The 23948-nt window shown below is 53.3% G+C and overlaps 2 protein-coding genes across 19 annotated transcripts in view, besides 1 other annotated feature; one reads left to right on the forward strand and one right to left on the reverse strand.

The window, feature by feature from the left end:
- Window positions 1-3738, forward strand: part of BRSK1 (BR serine/threonine kinase 1) — a 28566-nt gene extending 24828 nt beyond the window's left edge. The window contains exon 19 of the mRNA NM_032430.2: window positions 3087-3738. Within this exon, the coding sequence (NP_115806.1) occupies window positions 3087-3244 (158 nt within the window). The 3' untranslated portion in view covers window positions 3245-3738. The remainder of the gene's footprint in view (window positions 1-3086) is intronic.
- Window positions 620-16517, reverse strand: TMEM150B (transmembrane protein 150B). Of its 18 annotated transcripts, none has more exons than XM_047438673.1 (9): window positions 16448-16517; window positions 13824-13919; window positions 13429-13710; window positions 12145-12220; window positions 11734-11793; window positions 11567-11634; window positions 11215-11342; window positions 7962-8142; window positions 3977-4231 (listed from the first exon to the last, which is right to left on the reverse strand). In XM_047438673.1, the coding sequence occupies exons 4-9, from the start codon at window positions 12210-12212 to the stop codon at window positions 4035-4037; spliced, it is 702 nt and encodes a 233-aa protein (XP_047294629.1). In that variant the 5' UTR covers window positions 12213-12220; window positions 13429-13710; window positions 13824-13919; window positions 16448-16517; the 3' UTR covers window positions 3977-4034. The 18 variants fall into 18 exon arrangements, 16 of the variants coding, with proteins under 16 accessions (XP_011525152.1, XP_047294629.1, XP_005258869.1 ...); XM_005258812.5 differs by lacking the exon at window positions 13429-13710 and adding an exon at window positions 15919-16041 and having other exon boundaries at window positions 12145-12269; XM_011526850.4 differs by lacking the exons at window positions 3977-4231; window positions 13429-13710 and adding an exon at window positions 620-1471 and having other exon boundaries at window positions 12145-12269.
- Window positions 4195-4720: an enhancer, noted in NCBI's record as "H3K27ac-H3K4me1 hESC enhancer chr19:55824387-55824912 (GRCh37/hg19 assembly coordinates)". NCBI's record gives its function as "activates a minimal SCP1, AML or CMV promoter by ChIP-STARR-seq in naive H9 embryonic stem cells {active_cell/tissue: H9 hESC(naive)}" and the evidence as "EXISTENCE:reporter gene assay evidence [ECO:0000049][PMID:30033119]".
- Window positions 16518-23948: the final 7431 nt, after the last annotated feature.

The following is a 23948-nucleotide window of genomic DNA, read 5'->3' on the forward strand; positions in this document are numbered from 1 at the left end:
TGGGTGGCGGGGGCGGTGGGTGGCGGGCAGAGGTCCAGCATGAGCAGGTGCTCTGGGGTTTGGTTTGCAGAGGACGCCCAGCTGGTGGGCTCCTTCACCATTGTCGTAGCTGAGGTCTTATCTGCAGAGTTGTGAGCAGGTTCCCCGAGAGGCTGGGGCCTGAGGAGGGTCTCCTTAGCAACCTGAGGACTGGCTCCCAGGAGTCCCTAAGAAGATGACAGGCTCTGTGTTGGGGGTCAGGGAACATCCTGCCAACAGAGGTTCTGGACCTCTGTCCAGGAGGACGGTGACCCACCGTCCTGGTTTGCTTGGGACTGAAGGGTGTTTCTGGGATGCAGGGCTTTGAGTCTAAACCCAGGACAAATTGGTCACCATCTTTGCAGGTCTCACAAGTCACCTCACCCTGGGGCTAGGGCCTAATGGTCCCTAGCAACCAGAATTCTAAGCTGAGTTCATGGGAATGTGCAAGATCTTGCTCTGGGGAATCCGGCCTTCCCGGGCTCCCAGTCCTGGTCATCAAAGACTCAAATTCTCTAGCAATCAGGAGAGCAGAGGGTTTGTTGCAAAGGTGTCTTAGTTCGTTCAGGCTACTATAAGAAAATACCATACACTGGGCAACTTACAAATAACAGAAATTTATTGCTGACAATTCTGGAGGCTGGGAAGTCCAAGATCAAGCTGCCAGCAGCGTTGGTGCCTGGTGAGAGCTGCTTCCTGGGTCACAGACAGCACGTTGGTGCTGTGTCTTCACATGGCAGAAGGGGCAAGGGAACTCTCTGGGGCCTCTTTCCTAAGGACACTAATCCCATTCATGAAGGCCCCACCCTCATGACCTCATCACCTCCTAACATAACCTCCTAATACCATCACCTTGGGATTGGGTTTCAGCACATGAATTTGGGAGGATGCAGTGTTCAGTAGAGAGCATAAGGGGCACTCGCCCAAGCAACCAGAGGTAGCCAGAATTCTCAAGGGAAGAGAGCGCCTGCCCTGGAAATCAGCCCTCATTCCTGAGACACGGGGTCACAGGGGACACAGTGAAACAGGGTACTGGGCCCCATTGCAGGGCACGTGGACAGCCGTCTGCTCTGAGGGGAGTCAGGCAGCATCAGCCTCACAGGACCCATGCCCCTTCCTGGACCCCTGGACCCCGTTGAAAGGAAACGGCCCAGCGTTGAGGCCAGGAGCCAGGGCAGCTTTGGCCTTGTCACCAGAAACTCTGAGTCCCAGGGTCAGGTCTTTTGCTCTGGAGCCGTGGTTCTCAACTAGGGGAGCTGGTTTCACCCCGTGTTTGTTTTCTATGGCCGCCGTCAACAAATGACACAGCCTTGGTGGCTGAAACAACACAAGTGATTTTCGTACAGTCCTGGAGGTCAGAAGTCCCACATGGTCTCTGCAGGCTAACAGGGTGCCTGGAGGGCTGCACCTGGAGGCTCTCTGGCAGAGACTGTTTCCTTGTGTGTTCCAGTTCCTAGGCGCTCTGGTTAAGGCCCGTTCCTCCATCTTCAAAGCCAGTGACGCCATATATCCCTCTGACTGACCTTAGCTGGGAAAAGGTGACTCAGTGGGACCTGCACAGATACTCCAAGATAATCCCCCAACTCGTGGTCCCTCACCTTCCCCACAGCACAGGATCTCTTCTGCTGCATCAAGAAACATAGTCACAAGTTCTCGGTATTTGCATGTGGACATCTTTGGAGGGGGCCGTTATTCAGCCTAGCCCAACCCCCTAGGGACATTTAGTAATGTCTGGAGACATTTTTCCTCCCCTCAACTGGGGAAAACAGGGGGATGCCAATGGCCTCTTGTAGGTGGAGGCCAGGGATGCTGTAAAACACCCTACAATTCACAGAACAGCCCCCCACGACAGCTGGGTCCCAAATGGCAGTCGTGCTGAGGTGCAGAAACCCTCTTTTCTCATGGTTGCTAGGGGCAACCGGAAAGCAAATTAGGTCCACTGGACCCCGTTGCCGAGGAAAGCTGGCCTCAGCAACCAGGGGTCTCAAAACGGGCACACCCTGGAAGATGTAGGACTAACAGGCACCCTGGGGGGCTCAGCCACCATCTCATAAAGGAGAATGGGGTGGGGGGTGCAGGCCTCCGAGTCACCGTGGTTGCTATGACAAGCCCCCCAGTTTTTGTTTTTGTTTTTTTGAGACAGAATCTCCCTCTGTCGCTCAGGCTGGAGTGCAGTGGCGCGATCTCAGCTCACTGCAACTTCCACCTCCCGGGTTTCAAATGATTCTCCCGCCTCAGCCTGTCGAGTAGCTGGGATTACAGGTGCGTGCCACCACACCCGGCTAATTTTTGTATTTTTAGTAGAGACGGGGTTTCACCATGTTGGCCAGGCTGGTCTCAAACTCCTGACCTCAAGTGATCTGCCTGCCTCAGCCTCCCAAAATGCTGGGATTACAGGCATGAGCCACTGCGCCCGGCCCACTCAGTTTCTCTTAAAAGAAAAACGAGGTCTCCGCCACGGGACCTCAGGTAACATCCTAGGCCCCATGGAAATTGCTGGAGACCACCCAGCAACCAGTGTTTCCACCTCAGTCCCCAAGAGGAGGTGGCCTCAGGACCCAGGAGACAGTGACCTGAGTCAGGCTGGCCCAGCATGAGGGGCCTGAGACCCCCCCGACTCCACCAGTAGGCTCCCTTGAGCCCAGTTCCATGGAACATTTCTCCCTAACAACCAGGGTAGGAGAGAGTCGGGGGGCCCCTCTTGCTGTGAACGTTGAGCACCGTCCTGGCAGGCTGTTTCCTAGCGAACAGTATCATAACCAGAATCTGAGAGTCTCCTAAAGTCAGGCCCGGCCCAGGCCCCCTTGGACTAACCTGGCCCCAGGGTTGCAGGGGGCATAGGGTGCAGCCCCCGTCCTAGGGGAGTCAGGCCTTGCCACTTGGGGTGTGTCCTCCGAGTAACCAATTCAAGGCCAGGTGCTGGACGGACTGGGCCTTATCAGGGATTGGAGCTAGAGCCTCGGGGTTACTGAGACCGACTGATGAGGAGACTCTGCCCCCATCCCCTGGTAATGGGAACCCCAACCCTGGGCTGCGGAACCCACGAAAAACCTCTTCCTCCCTTGCAGACGAGAAGAACGGGGCCCAGACCCGGCCTGCTGGTGCCCCACCCCGAAGCCTGCAGCCCCCACCCGGCCGCCCAGACCCAGAGCTGAGCAGCTCTCCCCGCCGAGGCCCCCCCAAGGACAAGAAGCTCCTGGCCACCAACGGGACCCCTCTGCCCTGACCCCACGGGGCCGGGGAGGGAGGGGACCCCCCTCCACCCCCCTTCCGTGCCCCCCAACTGTGAATCTGTAAATAAGGCCCAAGGAACATGTCGGGAGGGGGGTGGACACAAAAACCGGCCTTGCCCTGCAGGGATGGGGCTCCACAGGCCGTGCCCAACTGGGGGTGGTTCTAGGGGAACAGGGGGCGGGGGAGCTGTTTCTATTTTATTTATTGATTAATTTATTATTTTATTTATTGATCAATCTCTCTGCGGGGTGGGGTGGGGGAGGGACGGGAGCTGGTTGGGGTGGCTTAGCAGATCCGGACAGGGCCCTCTGTCCCTGTGTCGTCCCCAACCCCCTCTTCCCGGGCCCCTCCTCCCCTGGTCCTCCCCCCACGACCTTCTGTACGGATTTGCTCTCCGGAAGGAATTCTGGTTTCGCGTGATCCTGCCTGCGTCCGTGTCTCTGATTCCGCCGGCGGCAAAAAAAAAAAAAAAAAAAAAAAAAAAAAGATAATAATAATAAATAGCCTTGATCAGGGACAGCTGGCTGGCCTTGGCCTCTCGATTCCTGGGTGCCCAGTTGCAGGGGCAGGGCCCGAAGGCGGGGACGGGGATGCTGGCTGCCACCAGCTGTTCAGAGGCCCTCCGCGCCGGCACACAGGTCCTCCGGCTCCAGGTCAGTCAGCGGCAGCCCCAGCTGGTTGGAGAGATCTCCAGTGGCTCATCTTGCTGGGTGCGGGGCACTGGGATTGGCCCCATCTTTCCTGCTTCACTGGTGAGGGCAAGGCCCGGGTCAGGGTGCCTGCTACAGCTGGACCGGCAGGGAGATGGGGGAGGCCGGCGGGGGGCTGAGGCTGGGCCACGGCTGAACACACAGGGTGCAGCTCTCCAGGGCGGAGAAGTCAACGGCTAAGAGACCGAAGAGCGCGAACAGCAGCATGGCCACGACCCACTCGCAGGCCGCAGAGACGCTACGCAGCGAGCAGGCGTGGAGGACGATCACTGCCCCAGGGTCAAGGGCCACACTGCTACCGTGACAGACGCGGAGCCCGGCCTGGTCTCTGTGCCGCCTCGCGCTGGGCGGAGGCCGTCTCTGGGTGTCCCCATCCTCAGCTCTCCCCTTCCCCCGTAGCTCCTCACAGACGGGGCCTCGCCTTGGTCTCCGATGCTCTCCAGCCGGTCTCCATCTCAAGCTGCTTGCACATGCTTTCCTTTGCGTGCACCCCCGTTACTATTGCAATCCTAATATCCTGAAATGTTTCTGTCTCCCTTCCCTGACCCAGGGAAGGGCCTGGTTGCCTCCCTACTTGTCCAGGACATCCAGCTGCCATTGCTCCTGCCTGTAAACATGCATGGTTTCCTAAATACGCCTCCCTCCCTGCCGCCAGCCTCGGACTGTGTTTTGCAACTTTCTCCTGAACATCCACCCCGCTACCCATGGCCTACAGGCCCTTCCTGCTCACTCCCAGAGCCTAATCTCTTCCCTGTAAAATCTGTTTCTCTGAGTGTCCCCTCCTCCACGACAACTCCACCATCCACTCATGTGCCCCAGCAGACACTCCCCCGGCCCTCTCTTCATCCTTCTTGGCCAGCTGGTCACCCCAAGTCTTGTCCTATCTGCCTTACCCATCTCTCTCCAGCCCTCTCCTCATGTCTTGTGCCTTTCTCTCCTGGTCTGTCCCGTCCCTCCTCTGGTTCTCGCACCCTGCTAGCTCCTTAAGACCTTTTTCTGCTCTGCCAGCCCCTGCAGACTCCAGGCCTAGTAGAGACAGCATTTGTTTTCTGGAACTTCTCTCACTGGAGCTGCTCACCACTTCACCCCTCCCAGACAGCTTATTCCATTCATTCAGGGATTTCTAAGGGGGCTGAGAAGTGGTGGCTCACGCCTACAATCCCAGCACTTTGGGAGGCCAAGGTGGGAGGATTGCCTGAGGCTAGGAGTTCGAGACCAGTCTGGGCAACAGAGCGAGACCTGGTCTTTTTTTTGAAACAGAGTCTCACTCTGTGTCCCAGGCTGGAATGCAGTGGCGTGATCTCGGCTCACTGCAACCTCTGCCTCCCAGGTTCAAGCGATTCTTGTGCCTCAGCCTCCTGAGCAGCTGGGACTACAGGCGTGTGCCACCACACCTGGCTAATTTTTGTATTTTTAGTAGAGATAGAGTTTCACCGTGTTGGCCAGACAGGTCTTGAACTCCTGATCTCATGTCATCCGCCCGCCTTAGTCTCCCAAAGCGCTGGGATTATGGGCATGAGCCACAATGCCTGACCGTAAACTTCCTATGGCTCTCTATCACCCCCAGGCAGAAACCCAAGCCTCTGATCCCTAATTTTAGAGAATCCTCAGCCCTGGCCCTGCCAGCAGCCTCACTCCTCCCTGGGCTGGTCTTTCTGCTCGGTGCGTGTACCTGCAGTGTGCCCTCAACCTCCCAGCCCACGAGCAGCTCCTTCTGCAAGGCCAGGCTCAGAATCCGGCCAGGCTCAGGCCCGTCTTTACAGACGTCCATCCCTTACGACACTCAGCTAGCTGTCTTTATGGTTCCCTCCCCCACCTACCCCACCCAAGAGACTACTGAGTCCCACAGAATGAAGGCCCCTGTGGCTAAACTGATCATCAGGGCTAGTTTAGAAGATCTGGGCTGGATCTTATCACCATCAGGGCCCCTGCAAAGGAGACCTAATGGTCTCATACCCCAAGTCACTATAGGCCGGGCTGAGGGGCCAGCCCTCTCAACTATTTTGTGAAGATACACTTTGTCACTCCAGGAAATACGATCACCATTTCCATTTTGCTGAGAAAATTTCCAAGAAACGGATGCACTTAATACAACCAACACAGGGCCTTAGCTGGTTTCTCTGTACTCTCTTCTGAATGCCTGCACACTCTGGGCCTCCCCACAAATGAGAAAGACCCCCCAAGGCTGGGTTTTCAGCCCCTCCTTTCTCTCACTCTACACTCTACCTATCAGAATTAATCACTGTAGGCTGGGCACAGTGGCCCACACCTGTAATCCCAGCACTTTGGGAGGCCGAGGCGGGCAGATCACCTGAGGTCAGGAGTTCGAGACCAGCCTGCCCAGCATGGTGAAACCCCATCTCTACTAAAAACACAAAAATTAGCCAGGTGTGGTGGTGCATGCCTGTAGTCCCAGCTACTTGGGAGGCTGAGGCACAAGAATTGCTTGAAACTGGGAGGTGGGGGTTGCAGTGAGCCAAGATCATGCCACTGCACTCCACCCTGGGTGACAGAGTGAGACTCCATCTCAAAAAATAATAATAACAAGATAATAATAATAATAGGCCGGGCATGGTGGCTCATGCCTGCAATCCCAGAACTTTGGGAGGCCAAGGCAGGTGGATCATGAGGTCAGGAGTTCGAGACCAGCCTGGCCAATATGATGAAACCCCGTCTCTACTAAAAATACAAAAGGCCAGGCACGGTGGCTCACACCTGTAATCCCAGCACTTTGGGAGGCCAAAGTGGGCGCATCACAAGGTCAAGAGATCAAGACCATCCTGGCTAACATGGTGAAACCCTGTCCCTACTAAAAATACAAAAAATTAGTTGGGCATGGTGGCTGGCGCCTGTAGTCCCAGCTACTCAGGAGGCTGAGGCAGGAGAATGGCATGAACCTGGGAGGCGGAGCTTACAGTGAGCCAAGATCACGCCACTTCACTCCAGCCTAGGTGACAGAGCGAGACTCCGTCTCAAAAAAAAAAAAAAAAAAATTAGCCAGGTGTGGTTGGCAGGTGCCTGTAGTCCCAGCTACGTGGAAGGCTGAGGCAGGAGAATCGCTTGAACCCGGGAGGCGGAGGTTGCAGTGAGCTGAGATCACGCCACTGCACTCCAGCCTGGGCGACAGAGCAAGACTCTGTCTCAAAAATAAATAAATAAAAATAATCATGATGATAAAAGCAAATCCATTTTATGGATATGGAAACTGAGGCCTCAGAGAGTGACCTGACCCATCTAGAAGTACACTGTGCTGGTGGAAAGTGCCTCGGTTCTGGGGATGGCTCAGAAATGAGTTGGAATTGAGTCAAGCCTCATGTGGTGTGCTAGTAAATGTTTAACAACTGGCTCTGGTTGGTGGCATCTGCCAATTACAGTGGTATAAATACTCCCATGATGGCTATTTCAAGCTACTCACATGATATCACAGGACATGGAGTTCGGACGAGCAGTTCACAGAATGCCTCTCAGAGCCTGCGCAAGCCACCTGCAGCCTATCACCAGCTCCATTGCAGAACCTCACGCGCATCCTGGCCGAAAGACTTTTCCTGTCTGAACCCGTCTTCACTCGTAACCACATGATTCCTGGCACAGAGCAGGTGCCCTCAAGGGACTGTTCTTAGTATATCATTCTTCCAGCGTCTATTGGTCACTCGCTATGTGCCAGGCACAGATCTAAGCACCGTATGCCTATTATCCTATCCACTCCACAACCCTGAGGTCAGCCCTGTCGTTATCCACATTTGAGGGATGACGAAACCATTGACACCGAGAAGTAACAGCCCGCGGAAGTTTCCCCCAGCTGCTGTGTGGAGGACAGGGGCTTCCAACCTGGGCAACCTGACCCCGAAGTCGGCATTCTCGATGACAAAGCCATAATCCTGTGCAAAGAGTGAGGCCCAGAGAAAGGAAGAGACATCCCCAGTGACAGACAGCCAGGCAGGAAGACCAACTCCAGTGAAGAGCCACCTCCAAGCCCTACCCCGGATACAAGAAGGATACTGGCCACAATGAGGATGGTGCAGACGCTGCAGAGGCCCAGGCGGAGGGGCCCAATCCAGGCAGCCCCGGGCTGGGGCAGCCTCTTCAGCCTCCACAGGAGGAGCTGCAGCCAGAAGTAGACGTTACCCAAGATGAAGGCAAGGAAGGCCCCTGCCAAGTGCGTAGGCCGCTGGTTCTTTTCCTGGGAGGAGAAGGGAGAAGTTGGGAGGGAGACTCTGGGAAGGAGGGTAAGGGGCACCAGAGGGGCCAGGGCCCTTCACCAATGCAGTAGACAGTGGTCACCAACTTTCCATACCCAGTGATGGGCTTATTAAGCACATCAGCTATTGTCAGCTCCACGAGAGCAGGCATTGAAATCTGTTGTTCACTGCTGTGGCCTCAATTCCTAGAACAGTGATGGGCACATAGTAGATGCTCAGTAAATATGAGTGGGATAAATCTTGCATTCTCAAGGCGGGGGACAGACATTTCCCCAAAAATTGGTCTTGCAGGTGAAAAATTCTTAAATATTACAATTGTATGTGACTCACGGATACATAGCACATATTCCATTAAAATTTTAAAATACTTAAAATTTTGGCCTGGTGCGGTGGCTCACATCTGTAATCCCAGCTCTTTGGAAGGTGAAGCAGGCAGATCACTTTGAGCTCAGGAGTTCAAGACCCACCTGAGCAACATGGCAAAACCTCGTCTCTACAAAAAATACAAATATTGCCAGGCATAGTGGCTCACACCTGTAATCTCAGCACTTTGGGAGGCCAAGGCGGGTAGATCACTTGAGGTCAGGAGTTCGAGACCAGCCTGGCCAACATGGTGAAACCCTGTCTCTACTAAAAATACAAAAAATTAGCTAGGCGTGGTGGCGGGCACCTGTAATCCCAGCTACTTGGGAGGCTGAGGCAGGAGAATCACTTGAACCCAGGAGGCAGAGGTTGCAGTGAGCCAAGATCGCACCATTGCACTCCAGCCTGGGCAACAAGAGTGAGACTCCATCTCAAGAAAAAAAAAAATACAAATATTAGCCGGTCATGGTGGCTCAGGCCTGTAATCCCAGCTACTCAGGAGGCTGAGGCTGGAGGATTACTTAAGCCCAGGAAGCAGAGGTTGTAGTGAGCTGAGATGGCACCATCGCACACCAGCCTGGGCAACGGAGCAAGATCCCATCTCAAAAATAAATAAACAAATAATAAATAAATAAAATAAATACTTAAAATTTCATGGGAAGAGGGGAGAACCAGGGGGAAATGTCTAAAAATACTCCTTAGAGGAGCAAGATAATAATAATAGGTTGAGGGCTGGGCACAGTGGCTCATGCCTGTAATCCCAACACTTAGGGAGGCCAAGGTAGGCAGATCACTTGAGGTCAGGAGTTTGAGACCAGCGTGGCCAACATGGTGAAACCTTATCTCTACTAAAAATGCAAAAAGTAGCCGGGCGTGGTGGTGAGCGCCTGTAATCCCAGCTACTCTGGAAGCTGAAGTTAGGAGAATCACTTGAGCCCGGGAGATGGAGGTTGCAGTAAGCCAAGATCTCACCACTGCACTCCAGCCTGGGCCACAGAGCAAGACTCTGTCTCAAATAAATAAATAGTTGTGGAGCACTTTGGGAGGCTGAGGTGGGTGGCTCATTTGAGGTCAGGAGTTCAAGACCAGCCTGGCCAATATGGTGAAATCCCATCTCTACTAAAAATACAAAAAAAATTTAGCCAGGCCTGGTGGCAGGTGCCTGTAGTCTCAGCTATTTGGTAGGTTGAGGCAGGAGAATCGCTTGAACCCAGCAGGCGGAGGTTGCGGTGAGCCAAGATCGCACTACTGCACTCCAGCCTGGGTGACAGAGCAAGACTCCATCTCCAATATATGTATATATATAAATATATTCTCTGTGGTCCATGGGCAATGAGTGACCTAGCTAGAGTCTTCATGGAGATGGAATGAAGTCATGTACAAAATGGAAAGCCTGCTGCCAATGGCTGCCAAATGCTCAATCAATGTGCCTAACATGAAGAATGAGTAAATCTCAGTCATTTCTTTTTGGAGACAAGGTCTCACTCTGTTCACCAGGCTGGAGTGCAGTGGCACAATCACAGCTCACTGCAGCCTCGACCTCCTGGGCTCAAGCAATCCTCCATCTTCCCACCTCAGCCTCCTGCATAGCTGGGACTACAGGTTCACGCCACCATGCCTGGCTAATTCTTTATTTTTTGTAGAGACAGAGTCTTGCTATGTTGTCCAGGCTGGTCTTGAACTCCTGGGCTCAAGCCTCAGCCTCCAAAGTCCTGGGATTACAGGCATGAACCACTGTGCCCAGCCTCACTAATTTCTTTTTTCTTTTCTTTTCTTTTTTGAGACTGAGTCTCACTCTTGCAGCCCAGGCTGGAGTGCAATGGCATGGTCTCGGCTCAATGCAACCTCTGCCTCCCGGGTTCAAGCAATTCTCCTGCCTCAGTCTCCTGAGTAGCTGGGCTTACAGGCACCTGCCACCACCCCTAGCTAATTTTTTGTATTTTTAGTAGAGATGGGGTTTTACCGTGTTGGCCAGGCTGGTCTCCAACTCCTGACCTCAGGTGATCCACCTACCTTGGCTTCCCAAAGTGCTGGGATTACAGCCGTGAGCCACAGAGCCCGGCCAGTAATTTCATCTTCTTCTTCTTTTTTTTTTTTTTTTTTTTTTTTTTTTTTGAGAGAAGTCTCACTCTTATCCCCCAGGTTTGAGTGCAATGGCTCGATCTCGGCTCACTGCAACCTCCACCTCCCAGGTTCAAATGATTCTCCTGCCTCTGCCTCCCACGTAGCTGGGATTAAGTCGCCTGCCACCATGCCCGGCTAATTTTTGTATATTTTAGGAGAGACGGGGTTTCACCATGTTGGTTGGCCAGGCTGGTCTCAAACTCCTCACCTCAGGCGATCCGCCTGCCTCCGCCTCCCAAAGTGCTGGAATTACAGGCATGAGCCACTGCGCCTGGACCAGTAATTTCATCATTAAATAAGCTGGGGAGAGGGGCTGGCAGAAAATTATCCCAACGTCCTGGAAGTCAACGAAGTCCTACATACAAACAGCCTCGCTCGTAGTGCCCCACTCAGAGAGCAAAGGAATCCAGCCGGTCCAAGGCCACTGGCCAGAGAAAAATACAAGTCCCAGGAGGGCCGGGCGGGAACCAGCCCCCGAGACAATAAGCCTATGGCCACGGGGCATGCTGGGAGTTGTAGTTCCAGACGCCGGCCGGGACAGACCCTGGGCGCCGACTGGGTCTCACCTGGAAATTGCCTACCACGGAGGTGCCCAGGGCACACAGAAGACCCGTCCATAGGATCAGCTGGTTAGGCCACCTTCTGACGCCCCAGTCCCGGAGCTGGTGGTAACGGACAATGCAGATCCACGCGGCTGGGAGTAGAGGGGAGAAGGAAGTGGGAGGGAGACCCACCAAGAACTCCTGGGACCCAGGGAGGGAAGTGAGGGGAGCAAGGTGAGGGAGAAAGTGGCAAACTCCCGGATTTTGGGGAAAGAGGGGCCTGGGGCATGGACTCCTGGGTTTGAGAAAGGAGCGGTTTCGGAACTCGCTTGGCTGGGCTTGGGAGCACTGAACCAAAGGGCTGGGCAATATTTACCCAGAGCAGCTCCCATATTGAGCACCTGGCTGAAGATGCAGCTCTGAGGGGGGAAGGATCCGCAGATGCTGGGGAAGACAAAGGGGTCATCCTGGGCAATCCAAGCTAGGGCCTCCACTTTCCTGCAGCGGCGATCCCCCCAAATCCCTACCCTCGGGCAGAATTACCTGATGTAGGGAAAGCCTTTACTGAGGTCCACAGTCCTGTTGGTCACTGCAATGGCAAAACTACGGAGGAAATCAGAGTGAGTGGGCGACTCTCACCAACAACTTTTCCTTCTGTTAACCAAACAAACAAGGACTTCTAGCCCCCTCCACCCTCAGACCAGGAGTCCAGGCCCCCAGCCCCTCCTCCCTCAGACCCAGGAGTCCAGATCCCCCAGCCCCTCCTCCCTCAGACCCAGGAGTCCAGACCCCCAGCCCCTCCTCCCTCAGACCCAGGAGTCCAGGCCTCCAGCTCCTCCTCCCTCAGATCCAGGGATCCAGGCCCCCAACCCCTTCCTCCCTCAGACCCAGAAATCCAGGCCCCAGCCCCCTCCACCCTCAGACCCAGGAGTCCATCATGCCTCTGACACTCACACGATCCAGACGCCAGAGATAGCCCAGACAGCTAGGAAGACAGGCATCAGCGACAGGTAGCCCCACATGCCGGGCTCTGCAGGTGAAGGATCGGGGCTGAGGCTGGACACCTGTCTCTCTCACACCTGAAGAACCAGCCCTCAAGGAGGGCCCAGGTGCATGAGATTGTGGCCCCAACCACTAGGCCCCGCTTGGCTCTCAGGCAGAAGTCACCTGTAGGGGTCTGATCTGATTGGCCAGCTCTCCATTTCCAGGCAATTTCCCCACCTATCCCGCAGTGTTCAACCCTATCTCACGCATTCTCCTGCTTGAGGAATTTCTCCCTGTCCTCCCAGCCCCTCCTTGCACCTCCCAGCCTCTCCTTGCACCTCCCAGCCTCCAGGACCTCCTGGAGATGCTCACCTCTCCAAGATCCCTGGGGCTCTCAGTCCTGGGACTGGGGCTGGGTGAGCTTAGGGAAGAAGGGCTGGCATTCGGGATGGGGCTCAGACAGGCCAAGGCAGAGGCAAAGTCCCAGCTGGAGCGCTGGAGGGCTGCCTGGGGTCTTGGGTCTGACCAACACTTCCTGAGGGGCTCTCTACCTCCAAACCGCCATGTCCTCCCTCCTCAGAACCTAGCAGGCAGCACCTTAGCTTCAGGGGCCCCTAACTTCCTTCCTCCAGCTTTGTGGGTTCAACGTCCAAAGTCTCAGCCCTTCCCTCCCCAGGAACCAGGAATCTGAGCCTCCAGCTCTCTCCAGCCTGGAAGACCCAGAATTCCGGGGCCCCAGTTCCTCCTAGAATACAGATATTCTTCTCCAGCTCCTGATGTCCAACCTCCCAGCTCTTACCTACTCGGGTACCCAAGAGTGAGGGCCTCAGGTCGGCCTGCTCTCTGGGTGAAGCTTCTGTTTTGGGGCTGGGAGATATGGAGCACTGACAACCCTGCCTCCTCCCCTCCACTCTCCTTCCTCTCACCCTTCTCCTTTTGCCTGCTGGAGTTCCCCAGGCAGGCTGAGCATGGGTGGGAAGGGAGCTTTCAGCGATGACATCTCCATCCGAAAATTCCCCCAGCCAGACAAAGACTGCTCCTGCCGCCTGACCCTTTTCCTTCTCTCTCCCAACAGCCATCTTCAGCTTCTGACCTCCTCCTGGCTTGGTATTTAGGGATTTGGAGTCATGGCCTCTTCCTTCTTCCCAGGACCCAGGAGTCCAGTCCCTCAGCCCCTCCTCCCTCAGACCCAGGGTCAGACCTCTAGGCCCTCCTTCCTTAGACTCCGGAGTCCCTCCTGCCTCTGACACTCACGAGGTCCAGACCCCAAGATAGCCCAGCCAGCAGGGACAGGGACAGGTAAGCCTCACATGCTGGGCTCTGCAGGAGAATGAGAGGGGCTGAAGCTGGGCCCCTCTCGCTTTCCTCTTTCTCTCTCCTCCCCTTCACACCTGAAGAACCAGCCCCTTGGGGAGGGCCCAGGTGCATGAGATTGTGGCCACGGCCTCTGGGCCCCCATTGGCTCTCAGGCAGACGTCACGGGTGGGGGTCTGATCTAATCGGCCAGCTGTCCTCCACTCCAAGCAATCTCTTCACCTGTTTCAGTGTTCAGTCCTAGCTCACACATTCTCCTGCTTGGGGAGTTTCTCCCTGCCCTCCCAGCCCCTCCGTGCACCTCCCAGCCTCCAGGGCCTCCCCAGGATGCTCACCTCTCCAAGCTTCCTGGGGCTCTCAGTCCTGGAGCTGGGGCTGGGTGAGCTCAGGGAAGAAGGGCTGGCATTCGGGGTGGGGCTCAGGCAGACATCCTGCAGAGGCAAAGTCCAGGCTGCAGGACTGCCTGGGTCCTTTGGTCTGACTGCCACTTCCTAACGGCTCTCTGTCCCCAAACCACCGTGTCCTGTCTCCTTAGAACCTCACAGGCAGCACCGTAGCTTTGGGGGACCCTAATTTCCTTCCTCCAGCTTTGTGTATTCAACATCCAAACTCTCAGCCCTATCCTCCCCTGGACTCAGATCGGAGCCTCCACCCTTGGGGACCCAGGAGTCCAAGCTCCAACTCCTTCCTCCTTCCCCAAAATGCAGGAGTCCAGGCCCCCAGAACTCTTCCCTTAGACACAGAAGTCCCAGCCACCTCCTCTCTCACTATGCCACCTCGTGTCTTTTAATGGACATAAAATCCACATAACATTAGCCATTTTAAAGTGTACGACTCGGCCAGGCACGGCGGCTCACGCCTGTAATCCCAGCAGTTTGGGAGACCAAGGTGGGCAGATCATCTGGAGTCAGGTGTTTGAGACTAGCCTGGCCAACATGGTGAAACCCCATCTCTACTAAAAATGCAAAAATTAGCTGGGTGTGGTGGCGGGAGCCTGTAATCCCAGCTACTCCGGAGGCTGAGGCAGGAGAATCCCTTGAACCTGGGAAGCAGAAGTTGCAGTCAGTCCAGATCATGCCATTGGACTCCAGCCTGGGTGACAAGAGCAAAACTCTGTCTCAGAAAAAAGAAAAAAAAAATGTGCGACTCAGCGACATTAGTGCACTCCCAATGTTATGCAACCATCGCCTCTTTCTTTTTTTTTTTTTGAGACAGAGTCTCCCTCTGTCACCCAGATTGGAGTGCAGTGGCGCAATTTCGGCTCACTGCAACCTCTGCTTCCCGGGTTCAAGTGATTCTCCTGCCTCAGCCTCCTGAGGAGCTGGGATTACAGGCCGGTGCCACCATGCCTGGCTAATTTTTGTATTTTTAGTAGAGATGGGGTTTCACCATGTTGGCCAGGCTGGTCTCGAACTCCCAACCTCAGGTGATCCACCCGCCTCAGGCTCCCAAAGTGCTGGGATTACAGGCGTGAGACACTGCGCCCAACCTTTTTTTTTTTTTTTTTTTTCTGAAACAGAGTCTCCCTCTGTTGCCCAGGCTGGAGTGCAGTGGCACAATCTTGGCTCACTGGGACCTCCACCTCCTGGGTTCAAGTGATTCTCATGCCTCAGCCTCCCAAGTAGCTGGGATTACAGGTGCCCGCCACTATGCCTGGCTAATTTTTGCATTTTTTGATAAAGACAGAGTTTCACCATGTTGGCCAGGCTGGCCTCAAAATGCTGACCTCAAGTGATCCCCCTGCCTCAGCCTCCCAAAGTGCTGGGATTACAGGCGGAAGCCATCGCGCCCAACCCGTCTGGTGTATTTTATGCTCAGTGTAATGTTTTTGAGATTCATCCATGTTGTGGCATGTATTAGTGTTTCATTCCTTTATTTTTTATTTTTATTTTTTAAACAGCCAGGGTCGGCTGGGCAAGGTGGCTGACGCCTGTAGTCCCAGCACTTTGGGAGGCTGAGGCAGGTGGATCACCTGAGGTCAGGAGATCGAGACCAGCCTGGCCAACATGGTGAAAACCTGTCTCTACTAAAAATACAAAAAAAAATTAGCTGGGTGGCCGGGCATGGTGGCTCACGCCTGCAATCCCAGCACTTTGGGAGGCCGAGGTGGGCAGATCATGAGATCAGGAGTTTGAGACCAGCCTGGCCAACATAGTGAAACCCCGTCTCTACTAAAAATACAAAAATTAGCCGGGTGTGGTGGCAGGCACCTGTAATCCCAGCTACTCGGGAGGCTGAGGCAGGAGAATCGCTTGAACCCAGGAGGCGGAGGTTGCAGTGAGCCGAGATCGCACCACTGCATTCCAGCCTGGGCGACAGAGTGAGACTCCGTCTCCAAAAATAAATAAAATAAAATAAATAAATAAAATAAAAAATAAATCCTGTCCCAGTGGGGCTGATAGAGGGCAAAGCTCTCCAAGTCCTCCTCACCCCTTCTGCTGCCAAATGCCTCTCCTCTGGGTCTCGTCTTCCTCCTTTCGCTTCTTTTTCCGGAGGTCTCCGTTTGCCCAGACATGAATCTGAGCCACCCCCTGCCCTCAGGGGAATCCCTGTCTGTGGGCAACACAGATGATCAGCAGGTGACAGCTCCTCTAAAGGAAGTCACACAAAGCTATGAGGGAGCCCAGGGGAGGGAGGGGTCCATGCTACCTGCTCCTCCGTCGGCCCTCAACACTGATCTCCTGCCCTGCCCTGTCCTGTGTTTGCCACCTGGCTGATTCCCACTTCTCTTCCAAAAACATAATAATAATAAAGACGAGAAAGCCCAGGTGATCCTAAGGAAGACTTGTCCCCGCTCTGAGCCTCCATACCCAACTCGGTGTCCTGGCACAAAGATGAGTTTGGCTCACTGGTGTCCCCACGGTGCTTATGTGACCTGCTTGGACCCTCCCTGGGAGGACAGGGGACAGGGCTCCAGCCTGCCGAGCTACTTTCAAGTTGGGAATTAGGCCCCACTCACCGGCCACGGGTAGGTTGGGTGTCTGGAGCCTGAAGGATCCTTCCAGAAGCTAGGGCTGCTGGCCTGGCTCAGCCGAGGGGAAGAGGCTGTGCTTTTCCTCTGAGAAAGATGACGTTGCACTTTCATATTGAGGAAACCGCTTGTGGTTGGTGGTGGGGACTGGTTTTTATTTTTATTTTTATTTTTTTATTTTATTTTTTATTTTTGAGACGGAGTTTCGCTCTTGTTGCCCAGGCTGGAGTGCAATGGCGCGATCTCAGCTGACCGCAACCTCTGCCCCCGGGTTCAAGCGATTCTCCTGCTCAGCCTCCCAAGTAGCTGGAATTACAGTCATGCACCACCACACCCGGCTAATTTTGTATTTTTTTAGTAGAAACAGGGTTTCTCCATGTCGGTCAGGCTAGTCCCAAACTCCTGACATCCGGTGTTCCACCCGCCTCGGCCTCCCAAGTGCTAGGATTACAGGCGTGAGCCACCGCGGCCGGCCTATTTTTATTTTTATATCCCTAGATGTCTATGTCCCCTGCCTGGAAGTTTCCCCAGAGAGGGGATGTAGACGTCTAGGAACACAGAGGTCTCAGAACCTTCCCCAGGGAGGGGATGTACACCTCTAGAGATAGATGGGTCTCGGACCTCTGTTTTCTTGTCTGCAAAACAGGGATCATGATGGTCTGCCCTCGTGCAATTGTGAGGGTTTATTGGGGTTATCCACATAAGACCCTAAAAGAATGCCTGTCTGACCGGGCCCGGTGGCTCACGCCTGTAATCCCAGCATTTTGGGAGGCTGAGGCGGGTGGATCACCTGAGGTCATGAGTTCGAGACCAGCCTGGCCAATATGGCGAAACCCCGTTTCTACTAAAAATACAAAAATTAGCTGGGCATGGTGGCGGGCGCCTGTAATCCCAGCTACTCAAGAGGCTGAGGCCGGAGAATCGCTTGAATCCAGGAAGTGGAGGTTGCAGTGAGTCGAGATTGTGCCACTACACTCCAGCCCGGACGACAAGAGCGAAACTCCCTCTCAAAAAAACAAAAAAGAAAGAAAGAAAAGAAAAGCAAGAGATTGACTGGGGATGAGGTTGCTGAAGGATAAAGGAGGAGAAAGGCCAGGCGCGGTGGCTTAAGCCTGTAATCCCAGCACTTTGGGAGGCCAAGGCAGGCGGATCACGAGGTCAGGAGTTCAAGACCAGCCTGGCCAATATGGTGAAACCCCGTCTCTACTAAAAATACAAAAAAAAAAAGAAAAAAAGAAAAAGGAGGAGAAAGACCAGGAGTGGCTGGGAGAGACTTCAGACTGCAACGTGAGTGGGTCTGGGTCTGACACTGGAGAAAGGAGATGGGGAGAGTGGAAGAATCACAGACCATGTGCAGTTCTGAGAACCCCGGTCAGGTCAGCTGGGAAATGTGGTGCAAAGATCACCCATACGCAAGTCCATGGAGACCGAAAGCAAGTCAGTGGTTGCAAGGGGTGGGAAGAGGGGAGGATGGGAAATGATTGCTTATTTGGAGTTTCCTTATGGGGGTTATGAAACTGTTTTGGAACTAGATAGAGACGAAGGTTGCACAACATTGGGACTGTGCTAGACGACACCGAATTATACTTTAAAATGCTTAGAGTGGGCCGGGCGCCGTGGCTCACGCCTGTCATCCCAGCACTTTGGGAGGCCGAGGCGGGCGGATCACGAGGTCAGGAGATCAACACCATCCTGGCTAACATGGTGAAACCCCATCTCTACTAAAAATACAAAAAAATTAGCCGGGCGTGGTGGCGGGCGCCTGTGGTCCCAGCTACCCGGGAGGTTGAGGCAGGAGAACGGCGGGAACCCGGGAGGCGGCAGTTGCAGTGAGCCGAGATCGCGTCGCCGCACTCCAGCCTGGGCGACAGAGCGAGACTCCGTCCCAAAAAATAAATAAATAAATACATAAATAAATAAATAAATAAATAATTTAAAAATTAAATTTAACTTTTTTTTTTTTTTTTTGAGACGGAGTCTCGCTCTTTGGCCCAGGCTGGAGTGCAGTGACGCGATCTCGGCTCACTGCAAGCTCCGCCTCCCGGGTTCAAAGGATTCTCCTGCCTCAGCCTCCCGAGTAGCTGGGACTAAAGGCGCCCGCCACCACGCCCGGCTAATTTTTTTTTTTTTTTTTTTGTATGTTTAGTAGAGATGAGGTTCCACTGTGTTATTCAGGATGGTCTTGATCTCCTGACCTCGTGATCCGCCCGCCTCGGCCTCCCAAAGTGTTGGGATTACAGGTGAGAGCCACCGCGCCTGGCCAAAAAGTTAAATTTAATAAATAAATAAATAAACACTTTAGCACATTGACTTTAGAGGTGTCCACATTGGGCAGAAACGGCCAGGCTCTGCTCCCCACCCCATGCTTAGTCATCGGTCAAGGCTGCATAAAAAGAATGTAATAGCAATCCAAATCAAACACTGCTGAAGGTGCTACTGCTGGAGGCTGGAGACCAGCTGAAGTCCTCCCTGCTAATCAAGTTCTTTCAGGAAGGGTGAGCCACCTGGCTACCGTACTTGCCCAATGTCACTCAGCTACCGAGTGGAGCAGCTTGGGTCTGTCTGGCTGTAAAGTTTGGTTCCTTCCTATGTGCCATGCAATGCCCTTGAATATCCCTCCTTATCTTCACCCATCCAACCTTCTCCTGAAACATCCATTTATCTGTGCATATGTTCATGCCTTTGTGCATTCCTCCAGCTAGTTATTTCTCCACTCATCCACCCACCTGCCTATCCGGCCAGCCATTTGCTCATATGTTCTTTTTTTTTTTTTTTTTTGAGATGGACTTTTGCTCTTGTTGCCCAGGCTGGAGTGCAGTGGCGCGATCTCGGCTCACTACAACCTCTGCCTCCCGGGTTCTAGCAATTCTCCTGCCTCAGCCTCCCGAGTAGCTGGGGTTACAGGCACCTGCCACCATTCTACCTAGAAGTAGAATTACTGGGTTGTATAGTAACATTTTTAGGAACTGCTAAACTACTTTCCGCCATGTGTACACGATTTACACCATTTTACATTCCTGACAGCAGTGCATGAGGGTTTCAATCTCTCCACACCGGCAACAGTGCCTGCTATTATCGGTCTTTTTAAAATTACATTACAATCTTTTTTAGGGATGAGATCTGGCTTTGTTGCTGAGGCCAGAGTTCAGTGGCTATTCACAGGTAGTGTCATAGCACACTACAGCCTCGAACTCCCGGCCTCAAGAGATCCCTTTGCCTGGCCAGGAGTCATGCCTGTAATCCCAGCACTTTGGGAGGCTGAGGCAGGCGGATCACTTGAGGTCAGGAGTTGGAGACTAGCCTGACCAACATGGCGAAACCCCGTCTATACTAAAAAAAAAGAAAAATTAGCTGGGCATGGTGGCACACGCCTGTAATCCGAGCTACTCGGGAGGCTGAGGCAGGAGAATGGCTTGAACCTGTGAGGCGGAAGTTGCAGTGAGCCGAGACTGCGCCATTGCACTCCAGCCTGGGTGACAGAGCAACACTTCATCTCAAAAAAAAAAAAAAAGAGAGAGAGATCCTCATGCCTCAGCCTCCTGGCCTCAAGAGATCCTCCTGCCTCAGCCTCCTGGCCTCAAGAGATCCTCCTGCCTCAGCCTCCTGGCCTCAAGAGATCCTCCTGCCTCAGCCTCCTGGCCTCAAGAGATCCTCCTGCCTCAGCCTCCTGGCCTCAAGAGATCCTCCTGCCTCAGCCTCCCAGGTAGCTGGAATTACAGGCCTGTGCCACCGTCCCCCATTTGATGTGTCTTTCTGATGGTAATCATTCTGGAGGGTGTGAAGTGGTGTCTCCTTGTGGGTTGAATTTGTATTGCCCTAGTGACTAATGACGTTGGACATTTTTCCATGCATTCATTGGCTATTTGCATATTTCTTTGGAGAAATGTCAGATCTTTGTTCATTTTTGAAATTCGGTTGTCTGTCTTTTTATTATTGAGTCATAAGAATTTTTTTTTTTTGAGGTGGAGTCTCACTGTGTCACACAGGCTGGAGTGCAGTGGCATGATCTCGGTTCACTGCCATCTCCACCTACCAGGTTCAAGTGATTCTCCTGCCTCAGCCTCCGGAGTAGCTGGGATTACAGGTGCCTGCCACCATACCAGGCTAATTTTTTTTTTTTTTTTTGTATTTTTAGTAGAGACAGGGTTTCACCATGTTGGCCAGGCTGATCTCGAACTCCTAACCCCAGGTGATCCACCCGCCTCAGCCTCCCAAAGTGCTGGGATTACAGGTGTGAGCCACCGTGCCCGGCTTAGGGATTCTTTGTGTTTTTTTTAGATGGAGTCTTGCTCTGTCGCCCAGGCTGGGGTGCAGTGGCGCGATCTCGGCTCACTGCAAGCTCCGCCTCCTGGGTTCATGCCATTGTCCTGCCTCAGCCTCCCGAGTAGCTGGGACTACAGGCGCCTGCCACCATGCCCGGCTAATTTTTTGTTGTTGTTGTTTAGTAGAGACAGGGTTTCACCATGTTAGCCAGGATGGTTTCGATCTCCTGACCGCGTGATCCGCCTGCCTTGGCCTCCCAAAGTGCTGGGATTGCAGACGTGAGCCACCATGCCTGGCCAAGGATTCTTTATATATTCTGGATTATAAGGCGATCATTATCAGATATAATGATTTCCAAATATTTTCTCCCATTCAATGGATAACAATCCTCTTTTGACCTAATATTCCCTCTTTTCTTCAGGATCTGACTTCTTGCATTGTTGTGGTTAGTCATTGACTCATTCAGCAATTTTTTTTTTTTTTTTTTTGAGGCTGAGTCTTGCTCTGTCACCCAGGCTAGAATGCAGTGGCTCAATCTTGGCTCACTGCAACATCTGCCTCCTGGGTTCAAGCGATTCTCCTGCCTCAGCCTCCCTAGTAGCTGGGATTACAGGCGTCGCCATCACACCCGGCTAATTTTTGTATTTTCAGTAGAGACAGGGTTTCACCATCTTGGCCAGGCTGGTCTCGAACTCCTGACCTCGTAATCCACCCGCCTCAGCCTCCCAAAGTGCTGGGATTACAGGCGTGAGCCACCGCGCCCAGCCTCATTCAGCAAATCTTTATCTCATGCCAGTGATATGCCAGGCACTGCTTTTTGATATTGAGACTCAACTCTGAACAGGACAAGGGTCCTGCCCTCCTGGCACTTATGTTCTAGCAATAAACGAATAAATAAAGAGATATGTAGTGGTAGCCAGGGGGAGGTAACCTGTGTAGCCACCAGGGGCCCCATTCTCAGAAGCGACTTGCGCTGACTTAAAGCTCTGCTACTGGCTGGGTGCAGTGGATCACACCTGTAATCCCAGCACTTTGGGAGGCCGAGGCGAGTGGATCACAAGGTCAGAAGATTGAGACCATCCTGGCCAACATGGTGAAACTCCATCTCTACTAAAATACAAAAAATTAGCTAGGCATGGTGGGACCTTACCAGGGTGAGTGGTGGGAAGAATAGTTCCAATAAGGTGAGAGAGGTAATGAGGGGACAAACTGGGCGGGGCCCGGGGGCCATTGTAAGAAAGTTAGATTTTTTTTTTTGAGACGGAGTCTGGCTCTGTCATCCAGGCTGGAGCACAGTGGTGCGTTCTCCGCTTACTGCAACCTCTGCCTCCCGGGTTCAAGTGATTCTCCTGCCTTAGCCTCCCAACTAGCTGGGATTACAGGCGCCCGCCACCACACCCGGCTAATTTTTGTATTTTTAGTAGAGACGGGGTTTCACCATGTTGGCCAGGCTGGTTTCGAACTCCTGACCTTGTGATCCGCCTGCCTTGGCCTCCCAGAGTGCTGGGATTACAGGCGTGAGCCACCACGCCCGGCCTAGAAAGTTAGATTTTAATCTAGGCGTGTGCTAATTCAGCACAGCAACTCCAGAAAACGATAAACATTTACTTCACCTGGTTTTTATGGGTCATACATTTCGGAACGGCTTAGCTGAGCGATTCTGGTTTTGGGGTGCTTGGAAGGTTGCAGTAAGACATGGACCAGGGCTGCACAGCCACCTGAAGACTTGATGGACACCGGAGGATTATTGCCGGGGTGGCCCAAGCACGTGGCTGACGAGCTATCGGGAGGCCTCAGCTCCTCTCCGGCTGCTGGCTTGAGGCTTCAGTTCCTCGAAACATGGACCTCTCCGCAGGGCAGCTCCAATGTCCTCTCTCTCTCTCTCTCTCTCTCTCTCTCTCTCTCTCTCTCTCTCTCTCTCTCTCTCTCTCTATATATATATATATATATATATATATATTTTTTTTTTTTTTTAAAGACAGGGTTTCGCTCTTTGGCCCAGGCTGGAGTGCAGTGGCGCAATCTTGGCTCACTGCAACCTCCGCCCACCGGGTTCAATGATTCTCCTGGCTCATCCTCCCAAGTAGCTGGGATTACAGGCACCCGCCACCATGCCCGGCAATTTTTTTTTTTTTTTTGTACTTTTAGTAGAGACAGGGTTTTGCCATGTTGGCCAGGCTGGTCTTGAACTCCTGACCTCAGGTGATCCACCCACCTCAGCCTCCCAAAGTGTTAGGATTACAGGTGTGAGCCACCGTGCCCGGCCTGCAACGTCCTCTTGACATGGGCATCCCAGAGAGAGCAAAGTGAAAGCCACAGAGTTTTTTTAGGATCTAACTTTTGACACACCATCATTTTTGCAATATCCTGTTGGTTACACAGCTCAGCACTGTTCGAGGTGGAAAGAGCCACACAAGGATATGAATCCCAGAAGTGGAGGATGGGGGGCCGGGCGTGGTGGCTCATGCCTGTAATCCTAGCACTTTGGGAGGCTGAGGTGGGCGGATCACAAGGTCAGGAGTTCGAGACCAGCCTGACCAACATGGTGAAACCCTGTCTTTACCAAAAATTCAAGAATTAGCCGGGCTTGGTGGCGCGTGCCTGTAATCCCAGCTACTCAGGAGGCTGAAAGAGAGGAGAATCCTTTCAACCCAGGAGGCAGAGGTGGCAGTGAGCTGAGATCGCACCATTGCACTCCAGCCTGGGCAACAGAGCGAGACTGTCTCAAGAAAAAAAAAAAAAAGAAGTGGAGAATGGGGGGTCATTGAGGGCCGTTTTGGGAGCTGGCTACCACAAAATATCAATTCATTGCAAAATTTGAGTAGGAGAATGATGAGGTGTGTGTGTGTGTATGCAATCATATATGTATATAGATATAGCTATATAGGTCCGTGTGTGTATATAAATTAATATATAGTATACAATAAGTATACTTATAGGGCCAGATACAGTAGCTCATGCCTGTAATCCCAGCACTTTGGGAGCCTGAGGCAGTAGGATTGCTTGAGCCCAGGAGTTCAAGACCAGCCTGGGCAACATGGCAAGACCTAATCTCTACAAAAAATAAGAAAGCCAAATGTGGTGGTGCATGTCTGTGGTCCCAGCCACTCAGAAGGCTGAGGCAGGAGGATGGCTTGAGCTCAGGAGGTCAAGGCTGCAGTGAGCTAGGATCACACCACTGTACTCGAGCCTGGGCGACAGCGTGAGACCCTATTTAAAACAAACA

The sequence above is a fragment of the Homo sapiens genome, chromosome 19 (assembly GCF_000001405.40).
Source record: "Homo sapiens chromosome 19, GRCh38.p14 Primary Assembly".
Classification (NCBI taxonomy): Eukaryota; Metazoa; Chordata; class Mammalia; order Primates; family Hominidae; genus Homo; species Homo sapiens.

Coding starts and splice junctions, on each gene's coding strand:
- TMEM150B (XM_047438674.1), bottom strand. CDS start 12,212: ATGTGGGGCTACCTGTCGCTGATGCCTGTCTTCCTAGCTGTCTGGGCT. Junction 11,635..11,733: donor AAAGGCTTTCCCTACATCAG/GTAATTCTGCCC, acceptor TGTCTTCCCCAG/CATCTGCGGATCCTTCCCCC. Junction 11,343..11,566: donor CAATATGGGAGCTGCTCTGG/GTAAATATTGCC, acceptor CTCTACTCCCAG/CCGCGTGGATCTGCATTGTC.